This window comes from Homo sapiens, chromosome 12 (assembly GCF_000001405.40).
Source record: "Homo sapiens chromosome 12, GRCh38.p14 Primary Assembly".
Classification (NCBI taxonomy): Eukaryota; Metazoa; Chordata; class Mammalia; order Primates; family Hominidae; genus Homo; species Homo sapiens.
Genome location: NC_000012.12, coordinates 23,545,420 through 23,569,764, shown reverse-complemented (window position 1 = coordinate 23,569,764; position 24,345 = coordinate 23,545,420). Strand labels below are relative to the sequence as shown.

General features: G+C 36.6%; 1 protein-coding gene across 42 annotated transcripts in view; it reads left to right on the top strand.

The window, feature by feature from the left end:
- The window catches only part of SOX5 (SRY-box transcription factor 5), a 1,033,147-nt gene that overhangs the window by 992,886 nt on the left and 15,916 nt on the right, over positions 1 to 24,345 (top strand). For 39 of the 42 annotated variants that reach the window (XM_024449159.2, XM_024449158.2, XM_047429458.1 and 36 more), the window contains 2 exons: positions 6,362 to 6,507; positions 23,341 to 23,449. In XM_024449159.2, the coding sequence (XP_024304927.1) occupies positions 6,362 to 6,507; positions 23,341 to 23,449 (255 nt within the window). Of the gene's footprint in view, positions 1 to 6,361; positions 6,509 to 23,340; positions 23,450 to 24,345 lie in introns of those variants that run through there. The other 3 variants (XM_017019903.2, XM_017019902.2, NM_001261414.3) reach the window with 2 other exon arrangements.

Here is a 24,345-nt window from a genome sequence, read left to right as displayed (position 1 = left end):
AAGGGGTGATGTTTGAATAAATTCACCAACACACCAGAAAGAAAGAGCCTTTCAGCGAAAGAGAAAAACTTGGGATACAGGAGTGTGGAGTGAAAGGATGAAGGCCTGTCCTTGGAAAAGGGGGAATGTTGTGTACAGCTTAAACGCAGGACACATGAGAGACTGGCAAGAGGGGACACAGGAAAGATAAGCAGAGTTGACATCATGAGGAGACTCTTAGGCCTTGTGAAAGAGTTTGGGACTTATCTCAGAATGATGATTTTCCAGGAACATTAAAGAGTTTCAAAAGTTCCAGTAAAAGCTGCATACTGTGATCTCTTGAAGACTCACAATGCACATTAACATATTCAGGATTTTAAAAACTCATGCAATTAAACCTTTTTAACTTTAATTTTGTATTTCTTACACTTATACATGGAATTATTTTTTCATGGGCTATTACAGGTCATTATTTTTGAAATGTTTCTTGAAGCACTACGGTACCAGAGGAGGGTTTGTAATCAGGGATGTTGACATCAATTTTTTTAAATATACATAGATAGAGAGATAAATAGATATTTTTATTTTTGTCTTTAGACAGAGTCTTGCTTTGTCACCCAAGCTGAAGTGCAGTGGCAGGTGAACATGGCTCATTGAAGCCTCTACCTCCCAGGCTCAAGCAGTTCTCTGCCTCAGCCCCCCAAGTAGCTGGGACTACAGGCAAGCACCACCATGCTCCACTAATTTTTTGTGTTTTTTTGTAGAGATGGGATTTCACCATGTTGCCCAGGCTGATTTTGAACTCCTAAGGTCAAGTGATCTACTCGCCTCAGCCTCCCAAAGTGCTGGGATTAGAGGCATGTGCCACCATGCCCGGCATTTTTTTTTTTTTTTGAGATATTCTTAAATGCTTTATCTGGAAAGAGAATAGACATGAATTCAAAGAGTGTAAGCCTAAAGATAGGAAAACCAGTTAGGAGGCCAAGGCATAGTGAGATATCAGGTGGCTTTCATGAAAGCAGAGGATGGAGAAGCAAATTTGAGAGCGAGGAAGAAGTGAAACTGTCAGGGTTTGCCTGCCTTGTATCTTTAGAGGGTAAAGGAGAGACCTTAAATTACTCCCAAGAATCGGAAGGGCAACTGACAAGGTCTATGGAATATAGAAAGAGGGGACTGAGGCCATGGAAAGATGATGAATTCTGTGCCAGACATGCTGCATATCAGGTACTCATGGGACATTCAAGTAGAGAAGCTTAGTCAATAAACAGATACATGTATCTGGCAATCTGGAAGGGTTTGAGGCAAGCAGTAGTTATTTTACAGTTCTTGGGATCATTTCTCAATTCTTAGAGACATGGTAAAGACCAAGGGTGGCATATTGGTTTCCTAGAGCTGCCATTACAAATTACTGTAAACTGGGTGGGTTGAAACAGAAATTTATTCTCTTGCTATTCAGGGCCTAGAAATCTGAAGTCAAGGTGTCAGCAGGGTGGGTTCCTTCTGGAAGCTCTGAATGAGAACCTGTTCCATGCCTCAATACTGCTGACAGTCCTGGCTCATAGATGCATAACTCCAATCTCTGCCTGCATATTCACTTGGCTTTCTCCCCTATTTCTATGGGTCAAATCTCTCTCCTCTTATAAGGCAACCGGTTATTGGATTTATGGCCCAGCCTAATTTCAGGGTGATCTCACCTTGAGATCCTTAATTACATCTTCAAAGACCTTGTTTTCAAAAGAGGCCAGAGTCACAGATAATTAAGTTTAGGACTTGGATATATCTTTTGGGCAGACACAATTCAACCCATTACAAGTGGTTTTGTATTTTATTTTCTTTCCTTGTATAGCAGCCATTACTACTTTCCTTTTAGAGTTTATCTCCTCCAAAATTAGACTTTCTAGTTTGTCCCTTCTTTTCTGCCTCTGAAAAAAATATATAAGGAGACTTTTTAGTTAAGAAAAACAGAAATTTTGAGAATATTTTTGGTAATGGTTAAGAAGAAACACTGAAGCATAAAACATCAAATTGCAGGCCAGGCATGGTGGCTCATGCCTGTAATCCTAGCACTTTGGGAGGCCAAGGCAGGAGAATTGTGTGAATCCAGGAGTTCTAGACCAGCCTGGGCAACATAGCAAGACTCCATCTCTACAAAAACTTAAAAAGTAACTGGGGGTAGTAGTGCCCATAGTCCCAGCTACTCAGGAGGCTGAGGCAGAATGATTGCTTGAGCCCAGAAGTTCAAGGTTGCAGTGAGCTATGATCATGCCACTGCACTCCAGCCTGGGTGAGACCTTGTTTCAAAAAAAAAAAAAAAAAAAAAATCAAATCAAATTATAGTGAATTTAACAAAGTTACAGAATCTCACAAATTTCTTACATTAATGATTTCTAACCCACATTTTCCAAATCTCATTTGAGATGTTAACTGGAAGTTATATTGACCTTTGCCATCTCATTTTCCTCTTAAGACTGAGGTTCACCAAACCTCTCCTATACACATGCCCTCCCATCTGATCCTGACTTTAGATGCAATTGTTGCTTGAATCTATAATGAAGGCAGAATAAAATGTATCTATCAGATAACCATTATATGTCTCTTTGGCCTTTATGGTCTGACGCCCATTTAACTGAACCTCTGTGCCCGCCAAGGAATGACATCCCCTCACAGATTTCATCATGATAGTCAAAGCCATGTTAATAAGAGTGCTAAGAGTGAACATATAGGGAAAATGAAAGTGTAAAGAGTAAAGAAAGGAGTCTAACATCTTTTCCTGCCTCTGCAGATACCAAGTGCTATCTCTTCCTTCACATGTGTTATTTCATCTAATTCTTCCATCAGCTTTACCTTCATTTTGTAGTTAAGGGAAGTGAAAACTTAGATTGAGCATTAAAATTTGTCAAATATCACACTTACCAAGAACTGGAAATCCCAGATGCAGTTGAATCCAATTTCCAAATTCTGCTTATTTTACTATGCCATTTTATAAAGTGACAGTTACTGAATAGCTTTCATTGACCATTTATTATGATAAAAGATGATATTTACTCACTTAATCTTGACATTTCTGTTATCTAGTGAGTGTTATCCCTATTTAACCGAAGAGACAATTGCAACTTAGAACAGTAAAACAACTTGTGTAATTTATATACCTAGTAAGTGTCAAAGCTAGGATTTTAATTCGGGCTTGCCCAGCTCCAAAACACATCCTTTTTTAATAATTGGCATCTTGAATCAAAATCTAAGGATTAGGTGAAGGAAGGATCCCAGGCAGGGATACCAACACAGAGGAGGCAGTGAGGAAAAAGGAACAATGCTAAAATGAGATTCAATAAAGAGAGGATGGTCAATGCTGTCATTCCCTCTCAAGAAATGGAAAATGTCCTTTGGATTTATTCGACAACTAGAGACCAATTGCAACAGAAACAAGATTGCACTGAGAACTGGAGAGTAAGGAGGGAATGGGAGATTATGAGATAATGTATCTTTGAGAAGCTTGACTTCAAAGATAAAAAGAGAAACAGTGTTGGAAAGAGAGGGCAAAACAAGGTTAAAGAAGACACTTTATTTGCTTGTTTTCGGAGAAAAGAGAACCTTAAGTATCTACAAGTTGAGGTGGTAGAGATGGTGGAGACAATTAGATAGATGATATAAATGAGAAATAGAATTATCAATGAAGACGTATAGAAATCTAGAACTCTTATTAGGAGATTTGCCTTGATTGAAAGCAAGGAACCATTTTTATTGAAACAGGAGGAGCAAAATAGGCATAAATGGAAATAAATTAAGCCAGCAGAAGGTAAGAGTGAGGGTAGGGTCAGGAAGGTGAGAGTTCAGCCTTGCTGCTCTTTGCAAAATCAGAGGCAAAGCCATTTGCTGAGGGAGACGGAGTCAGCAGGGTTAAGGATTTGGTGACTATGAGGAGAACAAACTGTAAAGAACCAGCAAACAATCATATTAAGATTGAATGTTGTCATATATACATGGCTTTATGATTTAACATAGCAGATACAAATGTTAACATTTCATACAGCATTATAACTAAAACTCAAGAGTCTCTAAAAGCAAGAATGTTTATTTTAAAGTGAACAGTTATTTCTACCTGCACAGAAACACACATCTCAAATTGGAAATAACCATTACAGAACATAGGTCTGTCAGTTACTCCCCCTCATAATAATTTACATTCCTCTTGCATCTATATTAATCATTTTTCCTACACAATGTTATCTTGGCAGTCCCTAAAAAGCATAAAGAATTCATGCTTTTATTCAGTGCCATGTGCCAAGCCATTTCAAATATATTTGTGTTCTGGAGAAGCTAATTAGACTACATAGAAGCTAAATAGACTACAAAAATGTATGATGCCAGGTTGTGTATAAACAGGGGTTAGAGCATAAGAAAATCAGACTGATCCTCTTAAGATATTACTAAATGAACATATACCAAGACCATCACGGTCATGTAAGAGTTGTATTTCTATCTAGAGTAATATTGTTCATGAACAAGTTCAAGAATTATACATTAAGAATGATGTACAGGAGATCCAAATTAGGATGTTGAGGATAATAAAATACAACCATCTTTTACAGTAAATATTAACTCTGAAGATCTGTTCTAGGTTTAGAGTTGTTTTCAATTCACTATTGTGTTTATAATGAGCAGAGATGTTTTGTTCTTTGAATAAGTTCCAATGAATTTAGCTCTGAAAGGCAAAATATATAATCACTCTCAAGCTTCCCTTTTCTATCGCCTACACTGGAACTTTTCTTTCTGCCTCAAGGAGATCAGAGGACCAGGTCTACTCTGCGCATACTAACAGGGGAAGAGGCATGGATCATTTAGAAACCTGCCAGCACTGAAGTACTACATCAGTTTCTGACATCGGTTTCTTCAATAGAAACGTTTAAGCAGCAAGAACATATTCTATGTTTTTTGGCAATCAGCAGATCAGATAGAAGAGTCTAGCAATACAACAAGGATGTGTAATCTGACATGATTAGACAAGGCTCTTAGTACCAGAACATTCATAATTGAGACAAAGAGTATTAATAACACTTTCCTAACACGGCAGTTAGCCATTTTATATTTCCTTTCTTTAATCTTAGTGTTTTTCAACAAATCATGGGATTTAATAGCGTGTTTTGGCAGATTAGAGGATTTATGGCCCAGATGTTTTTTGTTCTAAAAATGGATTAGGGTGTAAAGTTTGCTGGAATCCATGGAACATGTTGAGGCAAGCCGGTCATTTTATGTGTGATTAGTGCCTGCCTTCTGTCTCACAGTCCCTCCATCTGTCACAATTCACCAATGGATCTGGTTAGATTTAGCCTCGTGTCACAAACAAGTCCCTTTTCTGGGCAGTTTCGTATTACAGATTCATTTTATGCCATTTTATGCCCTAGTTAAAAGATAGGGAGAGAGAAAGATGAGATATTAGCTTTTCTTTAAATATTTGCAAAACAATCTTTTTCCCTCAGTACTAACGTACGTCTAATGTCATGCAGATCATCGTACTAATATGCATCAAATAAATAAATGACCAGTGTTAAAAATAAAATTAAGTAAAAATTAGTTTTGGTTGTTACACCTGTTATTTTGTAACAGCAATATTTTGGTAGTGTGTATTACTAACCATGGACTGTGGAGTTGCATACATAAGCTGATCATTTGGCCATCTTATTAAGAGTGTGAATTAAGTGTGACTATAGTCAAGAGTAGCCACAATTTCTTATCAAACAATTACAGGTGCTTGGTTACATTCTGTGCTTGAAATTTAGCCTAACTATTACAAGTTTGCATCAATAGCAAACCACTGCCACCTGTGGTTTATTTCACCATAAATGGATTTTTAGGAAGAAAATACTCTTCCGTCAAATAATGATTTATTTCTTCTGTATATAACAAACTTAATAGTGCTATACAGACCCTCTTATGTGGCCTTTCTAATACTAGGAGAGACTCAATAATCATAGTCATAATTATGAATACCTAAATTCTGTGCTAAAATTCAAATGTTCCTTGCAGGAAAAAAAATTAAAAATGGGTTTTATATTTGCACTACAAAATAATATTCGAATAATAACTAAAGCATTTACTTAAAAATTAGGTTTTCAACTTCTTTCAAAATAGTTGGAAACAACCATATGTCACTTAGGTATTATATTTTTATTACAGATATTTGAACATATTGGAAACATGTTTATGTATGACTATATGGATCAGTCATTGTCAATTATTCATTCATTCATTTTAGATAAATTCCATGGAGAAATCATTATAGGCCAGACACTACCTATTACCAAGAAAAGTGATTTTTATGGTTAAACGCTAGCCTAGACATGCTTTTATACAAAAGATATCCTTTGATCTGTCTCATGTTCAGGTTACTTAAATGACCATGATGCTGTCACCAAGGCAATCCAAGAAGCTCGGCAAATGAAGGAGCAACTCCGACGGGAACAACAGGTGCTTGATGGGAAGGTGGCTGTTGTGAATAGTCTGGGTCTCAATAACTGCCGAACAGAAAAGGTCAGTTCATAAAATAACTTACTTTCTAGAAATACTTAATTAAATTGCCTAATGCTTTTTTAAAAAAAATATATTTCCATCTTCTTATCATCCTCAAAATGATTCTCTGTCCCTTTTCTCCCTCCATTAATATAGAAGGCCTCATCGCCATCCTAATCAAAACCATCTGGAAATAGAAAGAGTTATAATTCTCTTGATCCATCTCCAAACCTTATTGACAATGAATATCCCCTTTTACGCCACCAGCTTGTATTAAAACAAAATGGCATTTGAAATATCTGAGTCTGACTAAAAGTTTTGCTTTTCAGAGATGCTTAACTTGTATTTGGGGATGAGCTGGATTTGAAATGCTGAATCTTCTTTAATCAGCATAAGCTTGGATGATATCCATGCTCATATTCTAAGTATTTAGGATCCTGAGCTTGTCATAATATGTTTCCAGTGCAAAACACTGTCAAGTGTTAGATGAGTTCACAACTGGAAATTTTTACTTTATCATAAAACAAAATGTACTTATTAAAAACTTTGACGTTATTTGTATTATAACTAAGGCCAGTGAAACTTCTGAATTTGTCTGAGAGACAATGATTTCAAGCCCTTTTGTCTAAGCCTACATGGTGTTTTATTTAGAAAAATATTATAAGTTGTAAAATCCTCAGAATTATGTACTGTTGGAATAGTTGATATGTTTTGAACTGAAATTTTAAAATGTTACCCAGTGCGCTTTACAGAATCCTCTAGATAAATTGATCCAGTAGATAAGAGAAAAAATGATCAGCTACTTAGCAATAACTGGAAAGTTAATCATAATGGGAAGCTTATGAGTCAAACAGACTTGTCCAGAATGAGCAGATTGCTAATTTGGATAGCTTTCTAGTTTCCAAGGTTTTATGTGGAGTTTGATGTATAATCACTAAGAAGCTGGCAATCTGCATAGGGAAGGTGAAATGTATGGGTGATCCTGCCACAACTGCTCTTTCCCTGGTCCTAATATGATAAAAATTAAGGATGGAGAAACGATTTCAATTCTATCGTGTGTCCAGGGGAGAGAGCAAAGGATAGCTCAGTATACATCCCTTGCAGTGTTACAACATAAGACGTATGACATTGGTGTCCTGAGAAGGGCACATTTTTATAGCTAAGCACCAAAAGGAAGGGGGAAAGCAAAGTGACAGTTCTAAGAAGGAATGATAGCAAGCATAAAGGAATTTATATTCAAATATTTAAACATTCTTGAAAGGATGCTTGAACAGAAATTCCTTTTCTCTGCTCCCCACGTAGAAATGAGTTTAACACTCAGCCAGATGCTAATGCAAAGTGACTCAAGCTATTCCTCGCAAGCATAGCTAAATTGCCGTTATTTGTTAAGCGCATTGAATTCAGCTGTGGATACAGCAGTTGGTTGCATTCAGCAAGCATCTGTACCCTTTTTTTTTTTTTTTTTAATCCTCCAAAGCAGAGACAACTCTACCTATCTCCCCCTTCTCTTCCCCAGTGCTGGCTGGGAATTGTCAAGTGACAACCGACCAAATCCTTTTGGACAGGAAGCCTTCATCCTGAGTTCTATATACTTGCAAAGCAGGCCTTGTGGTTGGATCAGGGAGCCCATTAAAAGTACTTTGATGGTATGGAAATTCATCTTCATGAAGCTCCTAGGCCCCTAAGCAGCGTGCTGTTTAGCTGTGGTTACAGATCAGTCATTCACATCGGAGGGCAATAATTGCGCTGACGGCTTGTAAGGCAATGGAAGTACATAAAATAATCCTAGGCCTTCCACCATGGCACTGTGAGTTAATCTTCTCTAATACAGATCAGCTGTTGTTCTAACACATGACTTTATGCTGGCTTCAGTGACTCTGCACAGCCTTTTGATTAAGTAACAGGAGTGGAACCATCTGCATTCACTTTATTCCATACTTGTCCATTGTTAGGGGACCTTATTGCCACTTCTCGTTCCATCTCCACAGTCATACTTTATTTCTCTGATTAGCACCTCCTACTTGGGTTGCAGGAGTGAGAGTTGCCTCCGTTGATAGCTACTGCTTCAATTTTCCTTTCTCTTTTGTACAGTTATAACAACTTTAAAAAAATCCATTTTTGAAATAATACCTTCCAAAACCTGTTGGACAGTTAAGATGTCTCTGTTCTCAAGATGATCATCATTCCTGAATCTCTTCATCATGTACTTTCAATGCAGTTGAGTTACATCTTGAACTATGGTCTTATAATTTAGGAGTTTTTAAGTGAAAAACTTAAATTATGAAAATGAAGTAGTTTCATCATTGTAGTAGTATGGCAAACTCTTGTAATATAAAAGGAAACCTCAATCAACGGATCTGAATTATCTCATCCCTTATGTTACTCTGACACCTGAAAATGAAATTGAGATTATTGAAACTCTTTGAAGCAGGTATTACTCTAGTTTGTGGTTGACTTTTCCTGTTGAAATAACTTGGGTGTCATTTCTAGAATATTAATGATCAATCTATGTCTGTGTACATCATGAAAATGAGATAATAATGTCACACTTACATCTTTTAATTAGTAATTATTCAACATTAGCACATGCTATGTATTAGAGACGGTGGTAGGTACTGGAGGTATTGTATTAAACCAGAAAATATGAGCTCTGCCTTTATAGAACTTACAGTTTGGATCAAATTATTATCTGACTGCTACTCATTACATATTTATGTGTGTGAGCCCACCTATAGGAATTGAATAAAGACTCCATATTGCTTAGCATGTCAAATCAGTTACATCCTTGAGTTGACAAAGGTAGATATGTTTTCTCTCATATAAACCACATATCTATGCATATAGTGTTATTTTTCTAATACTTATCTTTTTATTAGAGTTTTATAATCACTCAATATTATCTATGGCCAATAAATATGTGGATTAGTAATTGGTTTGAAATTTTGCCATAGAGTTTAGTGAAAGACATAAAAAATATATGATAAATTCCTCTTACATTTTGCACTATTATCTTATATCACTTGAATCCCAAAAGAAGGGCATTTTTTTCTGTCTAAAGTAATACTCCCGGCCAGGCACGGTGACTCAAACGCCTGTAATCCCAGCACTTTGGGAGGCCGAGGCGGGGGGATCACGAGGTCAGGAGCTCGAGACCAGCCTGGCCAACGTGGTGAAACCTTGTCTCTACTAAAGATACAAAAAATTACCCGGGTGTGGTGGTGCACGCCTGTAATCCCAGCTACTCAGGAGGCTGAGGCAGGAGAATAGCTTGAACCTGGAGGCGGAGGTTGCAGTGAGCCGAGATCACGCCATTGTACTCCAGCCTGGGCGACAGGGCAAGACTCCATCTCAAATAATAATAATAATAACACTCCTAACTCCCCAAACCCAGAAAATATGTGTAAGGTAAGGAGTGAGAGAGATAAAGCAGAAAGAAAGAGGGAAAGGAACTGGGAGAAAGGAAAAAAAGAAAAGAAGTTCAGCCGGGTGCTTTACATCAACATAAAAGATATCATGACCTGAGCTCCAGATGATTGAAATCTTGTGGTGGAGATCTGTTTTCTTGGGTACACAGCCTTATACACATTAACTTTTCTTCATATCTCAAATAGCCAGCCACGTGGTTATCCCAGCTAGAAGGTCTTAATTCTGAAAAGCTGTAATTGGACAGTGAAAACAATTAGAGGTGTGAAGATAGGGACTGATGATTTCTCAGTGATATGTACCAAAACACATCATGAAAGTCATTTTTACCGAAACACATTTTAATGGAAGACTTCTAAGAGATTTTTTTTTAACTTCTTTACTTTTCCTGGAAGTGTTTCATCATACCCAAGAACTGTATGTGTCAGGTTTCTTGGAAACTCTGGGACACAGTGTTATTTATAATTGTCATCTCTGGTTAATTGTAGACTGATTGTATATTCAAATAATGTTATCTTTTGCCACACAGCTTTGTCACAGATTAGTGTTGTGGGTGAAAAAGTGAGCTTCTCAGGTATGAAGGAACAGAAAGAAGCCTCTCATATTTTGTTTTGTAAAAAACACACTTTGCTTCATTACCACCCAGATGGCACAACTTTGTTCATAGAGTCAAGTACAGATTCTTGAGCTTGTGTTTGAAAGTATCCATATTAATAAGAGATTATAAAAAGCTCAGTTTTTGTTGTCCTGATCCCACCAGACAGTCTTAATACAATAGAGGCCCAGTGCACTCAGCCGAAATGAGAAACAGACCAGAAGCTTTTCCGTTTGTGTCACTCACTCCATATATACTTAACCTGGGAAGACTGTGCCTTTACTGTCATAGCTGTTAGGAACGAGTTTCGCTACATGTATCAGGAAACCTGAATGTAGTAGCTTAGATAGTGATTCATGGCCGGGCACGGTGGCTCACACCTCTCATCCCAGCACTTTGGGAGGCTGAGGCAGGCGGATCACCTGAGGTCAGGAGTTTGAGACCAGCCTGACCAATACGGAGAAACCCCGTCTCTACTAAAAAATACAAAATTAGCCAGGTGTGGTGGCGCAAGCCTGTAATCCCAGCTACTCAAGAGGCTGAGGCAGGAGAATCACTTGAACCTGGGAGGCAGAGGTTGCGGTGAGCCAGGATCACGCCATTGCACTCCAGCCTGGGCGACAAAAGCGGAACTCCGTCTCAAAAAAATAAAAAAGTAGTGATTCATTTTTATCACATAATTGAAGCTCAGGACTAGGAGGTTGGTGGCATGAGTTCATCAACTTGATATCAGAGTTGAAATCTGTGATTCTCTTGTCTTTTCCCTTTGGGTCACAAAATGGTTGCTGCACCTACAGCTATCCCATCCCCACGAAGGCAGGCAGATTCAGGAAGGAGAAGTCATTTTCTCTTTGCTAACTTCAGTCTTCATTCATACGGGGGTATTTCATTCCTCTTCTCAAGCTGACTTCCACAAACATCTCATTGGCTAGAACTGGGTTATATGAACATCTTTAAGACCATTACTGGCCAAAGGAAAAGAGACTACTTTAAATTGATCATGAATTATTTTTTACCACTAAATTAGAGAGCTAATCCTGTCTTCTCTGAGATCAGGGGATATCTTCAGATCAAAGGTAATGTTAGCTGGGAAGGAAAGAAGGGCAATGGCTACTGGGTAGGAACAGGCGATTGTCAGCCACAGGCATATTACAAAAATGACATCAAAGCTCTCAAATATTTCCTTCATGAAACTGGTTTGTTTTGTTTGTCTTATAATTGTTACCATCTATCTATCTTTTGCCCTTCCACTCTTACATGTCCAGGGTCTTTTTTTTTTTTTTTTGAGGCGGAGTCTCGCTCTGTCACCCAGGCTGGAGTGCAATGGCGCGATCCTGGCTCACTGCAAGCTCCGCCTCCAGGGTTCAAGCGATTCCTCTGCCTCACCCTCGCTAGTAGCTGGGACTACAGGCGTGTGCCACAACGCCTGGCTAATTTTTTTGTATTTTCAGTAGAGGCAAGGTTTCACCATGGTCGCCAGGATGGTCTCAATCTCCTGACCTCATGATCCGCCCGCCTTGGCCTCCCAAAGCGCTGGGATGACAGGCATGAGCCAATGTGCCTGGCCCATGTCCAGGTTCTTATACCTTGTCTGGGGTTCACAAAGAATTGAATGACACAGAAGCATGTGCACAAGAAGACGTTGCTTGATAACAGGTTAAATCTATAAACGTATATTCACATACACACCGTATACATGTTAAGACCAACTTCTGTATTTCTTTTCTTATGTAAAACAGATGTCACTCACAAAAATAAGCATGCATATGTGTGCATATATCTCTTAAGGCAGAGAATTTATTCACTGAACATTAATTGCCTACAGTGTACCTGGAATATAAACATATAATGCATGCTATGAATTCATCTGTCATTATAAATCATAGCTGGAAAAATGTCTTCCTTTTTCTGCTGAGCTTTAGTGAAAATTCTTTGTAATTTTCTGTCAAATAAGATGGAAATTTGGTAAATAACATGTATATTTTAATTAAGAATTTACTCAATAATGACAGTAGTTTCATTTTTGACCCTTTCTGAGTCATATTCATAAGAAGCCTTACCACAGACTATATAGGCTGATTGTAAGTAAAGGTTAGTTTTGTTTGTCTGGCACTTGGAAACTCGTCCATTACAACCACCTCTTTCCTGCCATTGTCCAACCCTTTTCTTTCCCTTTAACAGAGTGCCAAACATGAAATGACAGTGACCAATGTTGACTTAATGTGGATGTTTAATAATAAAAAAAAGTGTGTCATTCCCAGCATTAGTTACAAATGGCAGTAAGTGTATCGGATGGCAGCCCTGTAATAATTTTACATCCATCATTCTTTCCTGATGCTTCGCTGGCCATCTGATGGATGGGGCCAGCAGTGTTAACTCTTCGGAAACTGACACAGTGTATGTAGTTCAGCATTATCTAACACATGCTCCTTCCCTTAGATAAGGAGAAGGGCTGTGAGGAATTGTGAATTACAGGTTTTGCTTTAAAAAAGTGAATATGAAGGAACTCATGCCTCTCCAGTCGGTGGAAGTTGCTTCCATTAATGATTTACGGATGGGTTTTATAAATGTTGCCTTTAGCTAAAGTGAATTATAAAAGTCAAATTAGAAATAGATATTTCAATAGCTAGAGAAAAATTGTATAAAGGAAGTAGGCATGTTAGGTAAATCCTTCTGGAGGAAAATAAGATAGACCTTTGCAACAGTGTGGTAAAGCAGATTTTACTAGGGGTGTGTGTGTTTTTAAAAAATGTTCCCAATGTTTTAAATCCTCTGGTTAGAATTTGCCTAAGAACAAATTAAAATAACACAAGTGATTAATATTTTCTCGTTTTAAAGTGAGCGTATATTATTTTTTAATCTCTACATTTACATGTAATTATTTATTTGGTGACTTTAATTAAAAGATACACAAAACCTGAAGTTGAATATTTGCCTTCTTATTATCAGAGTCTCTCTACCCTGCAAATTTATATAAAATGAAAGGGAAACGGCTTTCTAGGCAACTGATTATTAGAAAATCTAGACCAGCTTTTTATGTGCAAGTTGGCATTTGATCCTTAGGTTTTCTTTTCTTTTGTTTTTTCATTCATAAAACCTTCTTAATTCTGAGTATCTTAGCTAGGGAACACTTCTTATGGGACAGGAGGGGAGAGGAAAACCCCTTAGTGAATATTATCAGCACAGAGCAGCCAGTTTTCAAAGACCATGACAAAAAGGCAAATAGGTATTATGTCATCACCATCCATCACTCTGTATGTCAGCCTTTCAATAATTCCAATCGACATTCTCGACAGGCTGATGCAAGTTAAAGGGGCTGTTTGTTTTTAGAAATTGAGTATAGGCTGTCTATAGCCTTTTGTTCTAGATGGTTTTCTTCTGTGTCTTTTCATTTCTTTCTCTTTATTTCTTTTCTTTTTGGGGGTATTTAATTGAAATACATGCCGAGTCTGCAGACTGCAAAGATCAGAGCTGTTTTCGTCCAGCAGTGGTAACTATGCATTAAACATTTTGATTTGTTTGAGCTTGAAGTTTAGTCCTTTTTTGCCATTTGCTTCATGGAGTTTGTGTATATTTACAGCCTCTGCATTTAATGGCCACATGCCTTATTTTCACAGATGGCCAGTGGAAGACTTTTTCTTTCTCTTAGTATAGCCTGCTTTCAGTTTTGCTACATTTGTCACAGTGCCACTACTTGCAGCTAGCAAGTGCCCACGCTTGGTGGGGAGCAATTATGGTGTGAGTTTTTAAGGAGCTTTTTAAAGGTTTTTTTTTTTTCCAGTAAACTTTTTATGGTTTAATTTTCTAGCCTAGAAAAGCTGTGCATGTTTTCAAACAGAGAGTCTTGTGTTCTTTACATCATTCTGGTAGAGGGGTTAGTGTAGGATGGTCCAATAAAATGAGACTCATAGGGCATGCCAAATTGGGCTTTCAGAGAGACACCCACAGGCCTCTCTGATGATTGAAACTGTCTATTTGTTTAGGGATTCGAGGATATGCTCACAATAGTACTTCTGAAAAGATAAGTTTGAAAACACCATGTATAGAATGATGTTGATTTTTTTAAGTATATTATTTCCATAATGCATAGATAAAAGACTAAAAGAATATACAACAAAATGGCAACAATAGTTTAGTTATGCCAAGGTTATGGGGTTGTAAATTTTCAAATGTATTTCCACATTTCTGAATTTTCTAATTTTCAATAAGTAAAGTAAGACTCACTTTTGTTGTTGGGCCAGAACTGCTCTTTATAAAAGCCTAGCCTATCAAAGAGTGGTCTTTCTTTTCCCCCTTGATTCTTTCCTTCTTCTCCTCAAGATCAAACAGCTGCCCTCAAGACACTTACTTACAATGAAGACACTGAAATAATAAAGGAGAAGTTTGTTTTGCAGTTACTCTCTATATTTAGTAGATAGATTCTTTATTATGTTTATTGCAAGCTATTTTACCAATATGGATTTAAAACTATTATTAGGAAAATAGGAGGAATGTCGCATTTATTTAAAGGGTCTCATTGAATCTTTCCAATCACATCTCTTCTCCTCTTTTACCAATAAAAAAGACTTGCTTATGCCTATGTCATAGGAGTATAACAGCTATTGATATTTATTTTGTACCTTAACATTTTCTCATGGCTTTCCCTTCATATTTTGTTCTCACTCTGTAATGTAAATAGAACAGTATTCTTTGTTTAAAACAATTTTTTAACTTGAGATTTGAGAAGAATAGAGGAATTCAAGTGGCAGATCAGTCTTTAAATTGAAGTCTTACAGCTCAAAGCCCAGTCTCTTTTCTAACGGAATATGGAGAGGGAATTCCAGAAAGTAACGCAGTTCCTGTTCAATTCGCCTGTGCCCCAGCATTGGTCATGTGTAGCCCTTGGCACATTTTTGAGACTTGATCAAAAAAATTTTGTTTAAGCAATCACCATCTCCACAATCTGTACATCTGTTTTCCAATTCTTTATTTTTCCTGTATTTGCTCCTTCCTTCGTTCTTCCTGTCTTCACTGCGCACCAAACCCCATCACTGGAGAAAGAACCAAGAAAGCAAAAACAATATACTCAATCCTAGTTACTTTGTTTCTCCTAGCAGCTCTGATAAAACAAGTGACGAAGTTTCAGCTATTCATTATAAGGAGATTTAAAATATCTATTCTAATATATATTTTTCTCTCTCTGTATTTAAAACTACCATGGATAGTTGAAAAGAGAACTATAACCCTGATGTGCCTGTTTCTATTGTCAGACCCAGCATTTCTGAACCAAGCCATGACTCTTTAAAATGGTCAGATTATATTTATTTAACTGAAGTAACTACTGGCTACTGAGGCTACATTTGTAAGAATCCTGCCAGTTTTATAGCTTTTATTCCATGAACAGGAAAATTTGAAGAAAGTAATCCTATATGTTTCTGTAGCTCAGTAACTGAGTTACCCATTGTTTATAGAATAATTATCATCAGACAACATTCCACTTTTGTGTTTACATTTGTGTAGCCCTCCCACCAACTGGACATCCTGTGTAGGTTGCAAATTGTATTATTTTTCTTAGTTGGCCTCCTGATTTTCTCACATTAACCCTTCTGATTTGACTCAGTATGTATAACATGTCTGTCTGCCACGGTTTGGAAGAAACACAACCTTTTCTTTAGATATTGGCTGAAGCCTGACCATATATAAAGACATTTAAAATCCCAGGTTTTGTTTTTTTCCCCTCCTGCCTCCCTTCTTCCACATGTACACACCATAAGCACCATGATAACAAAGAAGCAAGGGCCCATATTTTACTGTGATAGTATTCCTGTGTAAAGTTCTTGGTGAATTGTTTGTTTTCTATACATTCTTTTGAGTAGCTTTTCTGTACATTACACATCCGGGCCATAGGGATTTTTTTCCTCCCTGTGGCAGCGGTTTTCTATTTTAAGGACTAAATTCATAATGTTGAATGGGGACGTGTAAGTGTGTCTTTAACAAAGTACCTGAATTTGTAAGTGTAATTACTGTTGGACAGTCTCTTCACAAAATATGTCTGAAAAGCAATCAGATTTTTGTTTTTTTCATAATTTGAAATGTCTTCCTTGAATTTAAGAAAAGAATTATGGAATTATTGATTACAAAACCATAGCTTTAAGTGTTGAAACTTATTAATGATTTTTGAGAAAATTATCTTTTATGAATAGAGAAAGTATAAAAATATGACAAATTACACAAGAACCTGAAAAAGAGACTTCAGTGGAGTGGAAAGAAAATATCAGCGATAGTTGTCTTTAAATATCTTGCACATCTCCAGGTTTAAAAAGAATCAAAGCCTGTTTTCTGTGAGATATGTGTCAAAATAGTTTTGTTATATTGAGTTCAGTCAAGTAGGACATAAAATCATAGAATTGAAGGTTTGAAAGAAAATGAAAAGGGCCTATCATTCAACCTTGAATTGCTTCTTCAGTATCTGTAATATGCTAGGCAGGTAGTCGTATGTCCACCACTTGAAAATCTCTAGGAAGGTGGAAACTTCTTCCATCCTGAGACAGCCCATTCAATGGATAGGCAGCTCTGACTATTAGATCACTCTTCCTTCACTGGTTCATTATCTTTCACCTGATAACTTACAATCTTTGATCAGTGTTCTATCTCCTGACTACATATGGCCAAACTCTATCTCTGTTTCACAAATAACAGCTGTTTATTCTTTTTAAACATGGAGGTTCTTAAGATATTTTATGTAAAGACAATGATTGTTGATTTTTTCTTCCTACTCTACTCAAACCTTTTTTTTTCAGGATCCTGTGTAATTTCTTCATTATGACAACAAGGTTTAATGGATAGGAGGATGCTCAAAAACTGAGTTAAACTAAGTTAAGTCCAAGCAATTATTATCATTGAGTTTCCCCGGTCTGCATTCCAACACCTATTAAAAAAGAAAATGAGGCCATTATAACATTAGTTTAGTGAATCCATACCAGCTTCCTGTCATTACCACAACCTCTACCAAGTGCTCTGAACTAATCTTTATAGGTAGCCCCATCTTTTCTGGAGTATACATTAAGTGCTAAAGTCATATTTCCTCAAATTTCTCTCTTCATAAAAATCAAAATTAGATATTTGTCATCAGTTTTGAAATATCCCTCCCATTTTAAAATCACTTCTTTGAAAATCATTAATAAGGATTCATCAGTATTATCAAGTCATTTTCATATATTGAAAAGTTATTCACCTGGACCAAAACTCTCAAATTTCTACACTGTGTGTTTCTGAACCATCTTCGACTTTGTAGTACTTCTTAAGAAAACTTGATCTGTTAATACATTTCACTTGATCAGATTGCCTGATGAAACTAACCTACTAAGAAGTTGAGTCAGAATTATACAAGCAACTTTTCATGAAGCAAGCTACCAAATTTTACAAAAGGAAATTAGATTCTGGAACAAAATTATGGGTTTCAATTCATGAGGGAATTCAGAAAGGGAAAAAAAAAAATCAGTATTAGATAAGGCAGATTTTGTGGATACCTAGACCAGAGGATGTATATGGACCTTTCCATCCCCTGAGTTCATATCTCACTATAATTCTCAATGGAGAAAATGAATAGAAAAATTTTCTTCAAGGATTATTAAATTCCAGAATACCAAAGGGTCTATGGCTATTCTCACGGATAAATTCATACTTGATGGAGGTAAAATTAGTGACAGATCTCTTCAACATGTACTTTTGTTAGAGTTAGAGGAAAGTGTGTATTTGTGTGAGTGTGTATGTGTGTGCACACACATATAGTTTATATATCATTTATACATAACTTACAAGAAACCCTTTTCTCCCATTTTCGGTGTTATATTATGTGGGTAGATGATTATTTTCTAAAAAAATTGAGATATTAATAAGCAAGAGTGAAACGAGAGGTTAAAGAGTGGACATGCGCCTTATTTCTTTACACTTAAGCTGATGAAAAAAATCTCCAACTGATAAATCGTTATGACATTATAAGTAATCTTTCATCTTCTTTGGTGGTCTGTGAGGTTCACATAATTGGAGGGTTTTTTGTTTCTTTCTTCCCGTGTCGTTAATATAGTAGAAGACCATAAAGAAGTGCAGCCAGAAGAGGTTTAACTGTTACTGAGTCAACATTTGACAGTCACACTCTATTCTGTCATTTCATGCATGTGCTTTTTATGACTTTTATAGCTTTGTGAGCTTTATTTCAGGGATGTCCATTATGATAGCTGATCCATAGCCTATCTCTTTGTGTATGTGTGTCTGGTGGAGAGCGAAGCTCATCACTTAGCTGAATCCCAGTTTCAGGGAGTAATAGATGACTTATCTACTCACGCACTGTTTAATTTAGGATTAGGTAACTAAGGAAATATCTACCTCTAAAGTACAGTTTGTGTGTTCTTTTGTTTTGACTGCTCTGTAAAATATCAACATAGGATGCCTATTAGAACCTTTGCAAAAATAGTGAATTTTCAGTTGTTTTTTATTTTTTTTAAGTCAAAATAATGGAGCAGGGAAAATTTTTCAGTTTAAATATGTACTAGACTTACAGTCTGGAACTGTAACTCATCATGCCTGAGTATGAAATTGAAATAAAAAACAATGATTGAATATATTGTAAATGATAGACAAAGAGGGGAAATTTCTGAGAATATTTAGAGTTGTTACTAAAATTCCCTTTTTTAGTGCATATTTGGTTATACAGAATAGAGTTTATAATCATAACAGGCTACTTAATACTGAAATTTAACTATTTCTGTAATTCTCACATGTTAGATTCCCTGTCTTTTCAATTTTCCCCACTGACATTTTAAAAATAATATTAAAAGTATATCTATCTTAAAATTTTCAAACTAATGAGAATCTAACACATGTTTAACTATCATTTTACAAATTAGGATTCTGGGACTCGAGGAGGATAACATATTTGTCTAAAGCAGTATGGCTAATATATACGGCAGAGAGTTTGATTAAAATATGATATTCCTGATGCCAAAACTCATTATTTTCTAACCTCAAAAGTGTCCTCTTCCCATGAATCCCTGTGGCCTTTCGCCATTCAGAATGGTTTTTGGCTTAGAAGTATGAATTGATACTGACCACCTCCAATCAACAAAGTGTCCATATCTCTTTAGCTATTTCTTGGCTCCCCTTTTAGATTCCCACCATAGCCTGGGATTATGTGCAAACAGTACACATGCTGTTTTGCATTATGCAAGTCTCTGGATAAGTCACAGAGCACAAGACCAGCTACCAAGTTCCCCAAGTGAATACTAATACGTTAATAATAGTTTTCTGTATGTCAGATTTTGGAGTTACTCATTTGCACCCAGGAAACCATGTGGTCTACAACTGTCTTCTGTCGATGAGATACAATTCACTTCGATCTTGTTTCAAGTCAACATAAAATCAGAAGATTTTTTCAAGTCTGTTTTTAAACAGACTTAACCTAATGTTTCTCCTTGATCTCAGCAAACCTGCAGAGTTGTAAAGATGTGATTAGGCAGATAAGACTCATCTTTGCAAAGGAATCTAGTTGTTATCCCATTGCTAGTTTTTATTCAAGAGAGAAAGCATACAGGTCATCTTGTTTGGCCCATACCCCAGGACTTTTACATGTTGACTACTTTGTTGTAATTAATCTCTTTTTGCCCTCTATTCTGACATCATTCAGCGCATTTAGAATTCTGGCGAGTATTCCTTTAAATGTATAAAAATGTAAAAAGAAGGTAAAGGAGAGAAGACCAATCAATCTTGTCATTTTCATATCAGCATTCCTAAGTGCTGTGCTGGATTTGTGTTCCAGAATGGTGACCTTTAAATGGGGGAATGGGATGCTATTTTTCTGCAGAAACTCTTGAGTAACATGATTTTTATCAGAGCCGTGATTTTTATCAGATTATAAGATCTATATCACCAACATGATTTTTATCAGATTATAAGATCGGTAAAAAATTGTCACTTGTGCCCATCAACATTTATTTGTTTTCCCAAAATCAGTTTCTTTGGTGTTTCCCATTTTCAACATCTTCCCACTTAACCCTCTGCTTACCTGAAATCTACTGTCCTTGTTTTGTTCCATCTGCCTCTATTTAGAAAAGAGTAATTTATTTATAAGAAATTTGAGAATCAAAATATTACCTTTTCCAGTAGTATTTGCTCTTATGAAAAAACACTTTTAGAAAAGGAAATATTTAACCCACAGAACAGAACCTCAAATGGTTGAGCTTTATACATGATAGTGCATAGGTGAACTCTTTCAGAGAGGGGATGGCTGGAGACAGGTGGGATTAAAAGGATAGAGTAGGAGAGATTTTTCTAGTGTGTCAGCACTTCTGCTTTATAACATTTGGCTGAGTCTTTCCCCTCCTATATGCCATTCAATTGAATTTAAACTTTTGAGAACTATTCTTAAATCCCATTCATTCTTTTGGTGGTTCAATATATTACCTAGACACCTAACCACATATAAATTTATATCTACTTTTATACATAAGTACTATGTGTCAGCTTTATAGGATCAGTTGTCATATGGAATTATAGGACAATTATTTTTTACTTAAGTTATTGTCTCCTCACATCAGTTTCTTTTTCTTCTGAATTTATTGTCCACACTTTTTTTAAAAAAAATGTGGCAACGTTATCCTTTTGATTTGCATGCTGTTATAATCTGTTTTAATTAAAGGCATACCTCACATTCTCCATTTCCTGCAATCACCTTTCCTTTTGCCTGTTCTCATGTCTGTTAGCTTAAATTACTATACAAAGGGTTACGAGAAAGTACAGCTTACTGTGTTGACTTCCACTATGTCCCACTGACGTCCTCTTGAGAAGCATAGTAAGTTTTACTTTTGGGTAGCTAACTGAATCATTTTATTAATATTGGGTGCATTAGTGGTGGATAATTATAGGTTACTTATTGTAAAAACTGAGTGTGACTTTCCTGCTCATATTTGTTAATTTTAGTCTCTTGGTAAGACAGCACAGCATCTGTAGAGCTGAACTCAGAACCTTGGAAGTCACTTAACGTGTCGTTCTTTTTCTACTTTGATTAATTTTGCTTTTTCTTCTTGAAAGACTTTGCTTCAGAATGGAAAACTCTCTAGAAAATGTGTAGTATTATTGCCCTATACTGTTAAATCAAAAGCTAAGAGGTGATCCAAGCCCCGTACATTCCTCAAAGAGAGTACAGTAAAGTCTTCATTGACCCGAGGACTATCAGATCATGTTGATGGAATGTGTGTATGTGTGCGTGTGTTTTCAAATGTAACTGTCTTTTGTTTTAACAGCTACATTTACTGTAAAGAAAGTCTGTTAAGCTGGTGTCCTTGATGCTCCTGAGCTCAGCTGAATATATACAGCCGACTCTCTCAGCAAAAGACATCCAAAACATATGAAGCAGCTGAAAACAACAACTTCACACACAAAACAAATCGAGTCAGATTCTACAGTTTTAAATGCGTAACTTATTTCAACTTTAATACTATTTAATTCTATAGAACTAAAGTTAATATAAACTATTTTGTCTCCAGTTTCTCTACTGTATTTTATACTGATTGACAATTTAAAAATAGTTTTCTATTAAATAATGTACATAATTTGATGAATAGAGTACAGGAGTTCCAAGGCCACTGACTTAAGAGATTTTTTAATTTAGTATGTACAGTTGTCACATTGTCAGAGACTTCATTGAGATAAAGCATGTACTGTGTTAAGAATTTCAATATCTCATTAGTTCTTGGTGGGAACATTAGTTGGGCCCTTTACCTGTAATACAATTATCTTACATCATTGATTACTTTCTGTGAACATTTTATTGTGTCAATAGCAGTTCTGCAGTGTATGTCGTTCACTAGTATGATTCATGACTATGTTCCTCAGAAAATGAGGTGAATAATTATAAAGAAACTTGAGATAATGTTATGAGATCCAATGGATGCATTTCTTAAAACTGTTTTGGTGCTGTTTGGTACTACATCATCCTCAGAGCAGTGCTGGAGAGTTCACGAGAAAGTTATCAAGTTTCATTATATGCTTTTTCTGTTCCTAAAGTCACCCAGTTTCTTAATTTGACAGTAATGTCTCATATGGTTTAGATTAAGCATTATATTTTTCTTAAAAATAATTTATTTTGAAATGCTATGTTCTCCATGAATGTGAATCGTGCACTGCATGCTTAAACAACTTGATGTCTCTGTAGATCTAATTTTGGTATATTTGTATCTCAAATAATTCGCCAACTCAATATTTTGGCTTAGCAATCCAAATCAAATTGTGGTCCAAGTAGCAGGCACTCACATTGGATGTACAGAGACTTGACAAGCAATTAGCAATGAATATTTAAACGTCTTCATTACCCTTGCATGAGGAATGCAGATGGCATTTGGGAAGATGGCAACCAGAGGGCACTACTGTGAATTATGTTTCTATTATTTGGTCACCTGACTATTGGAAGACTTTCTCTGGGCTTCACGCCACTCCTATACTTCTACTGTCTGGCCAAAAATAAAGCAGACATTCCAAATGTAAAACAGGTTGCTTCCATGAAATTTCTGTGCACATTTTGTAATTTGGGAAGGTTGTCTCCAAGGATCCCGGCATATATCCCTTAGGCATACCAAACCCAAACGCCAAGACTTTATAGGGGTCTATGAGAATCAGAGTTCCTTCAAAAATCGTGCTGATCATCCCCTTAATGACTTCAGGTTAATGTGCTGAACGTAAAAAGGTGAATATATCAACATTGCATCCTTTCCAGGAGTTAATGTATTATATATGTGGCCCAAAAAAAGAAAGTCTTCAAATAATTTTAATTCCTAGACTGATCTCTCATTATAATTTTTTTAAAGGAAAAAACAACACTGGAGAGTCTGACTCAGCAACTGGCAGTTAAACAGAATGAAGAAGGAAAATTTAGCCATGCAATGATGGATTTCAATCTGAGTGGAGATTCTGATGGTTTGTGAAAATTGTTCATACATATTCTAATAATGCAAGAAAGTGTCTAGGTAGTGCCAATTAAAACTGCTAAAAAATAGACTAGACAGCCACCTCATACCTCATCATTACAATAAGAGGTCACATATACTGAGCAGTCCCCATGTGCCAAGCACTCTGCTGAGTGCTTTGCAGAAATCGTCTCATTTAATTCCTAGTCAACCTAGGATAAGTCCCATTGCAGAGAAAGAGCCTGAGCCTCAGGAGTTTTGAAGCATTTTCCCCAGGTCACAGGGCTCTAAGTGTCAGAGGCAAGAATTAAATTCGAGATGGCATGATTCTAAAGCAAATGCTCAAAATGCTTAGCTTCCCAGGCTCAAGTGATCCTCCCACTTTAGCCTCCCAAGTAGCTGGGATTATAGGTGCATGCCAACATGCCCAGCAATTTTGTTTTTTTTTTTTGAGATGAGGACTTACTTACTATGGTGTCCAGGCTGGTCTCAAACTCCTGGGCTCAAGTGATCCTCCCACCTCAGCCTCCCAAAGTGCTAGTTTTATAGGCGTGAGTTACTGCATGCGGCCTCACTTCCCTATTTCTTGTACCCAAAATGAACTTTTTCAGAAATTTGTTTCTATTGGCTCATTTTTTAAGTTTCTATTTGTCAAGCCCTCACCAGAATACATGGCTCAGAGGACATTTCCACGATAGTTTCTTACATTTTGGAACCCTTCTCCCTAGTGCTATGTACTACATAGTCAAGTGTCGGGCCCACTCTCTATAACCTAACTAGAAACCAGCTGCACAGCTTTATGCTCCCTTCTCATAGGCCTTCAGACTTCTGTTTTCTGTATCATCTCTGAACATTCTAAACATCCACAGTGAGAAGAAATTAAATTGATACTCTGATTTTTAATAG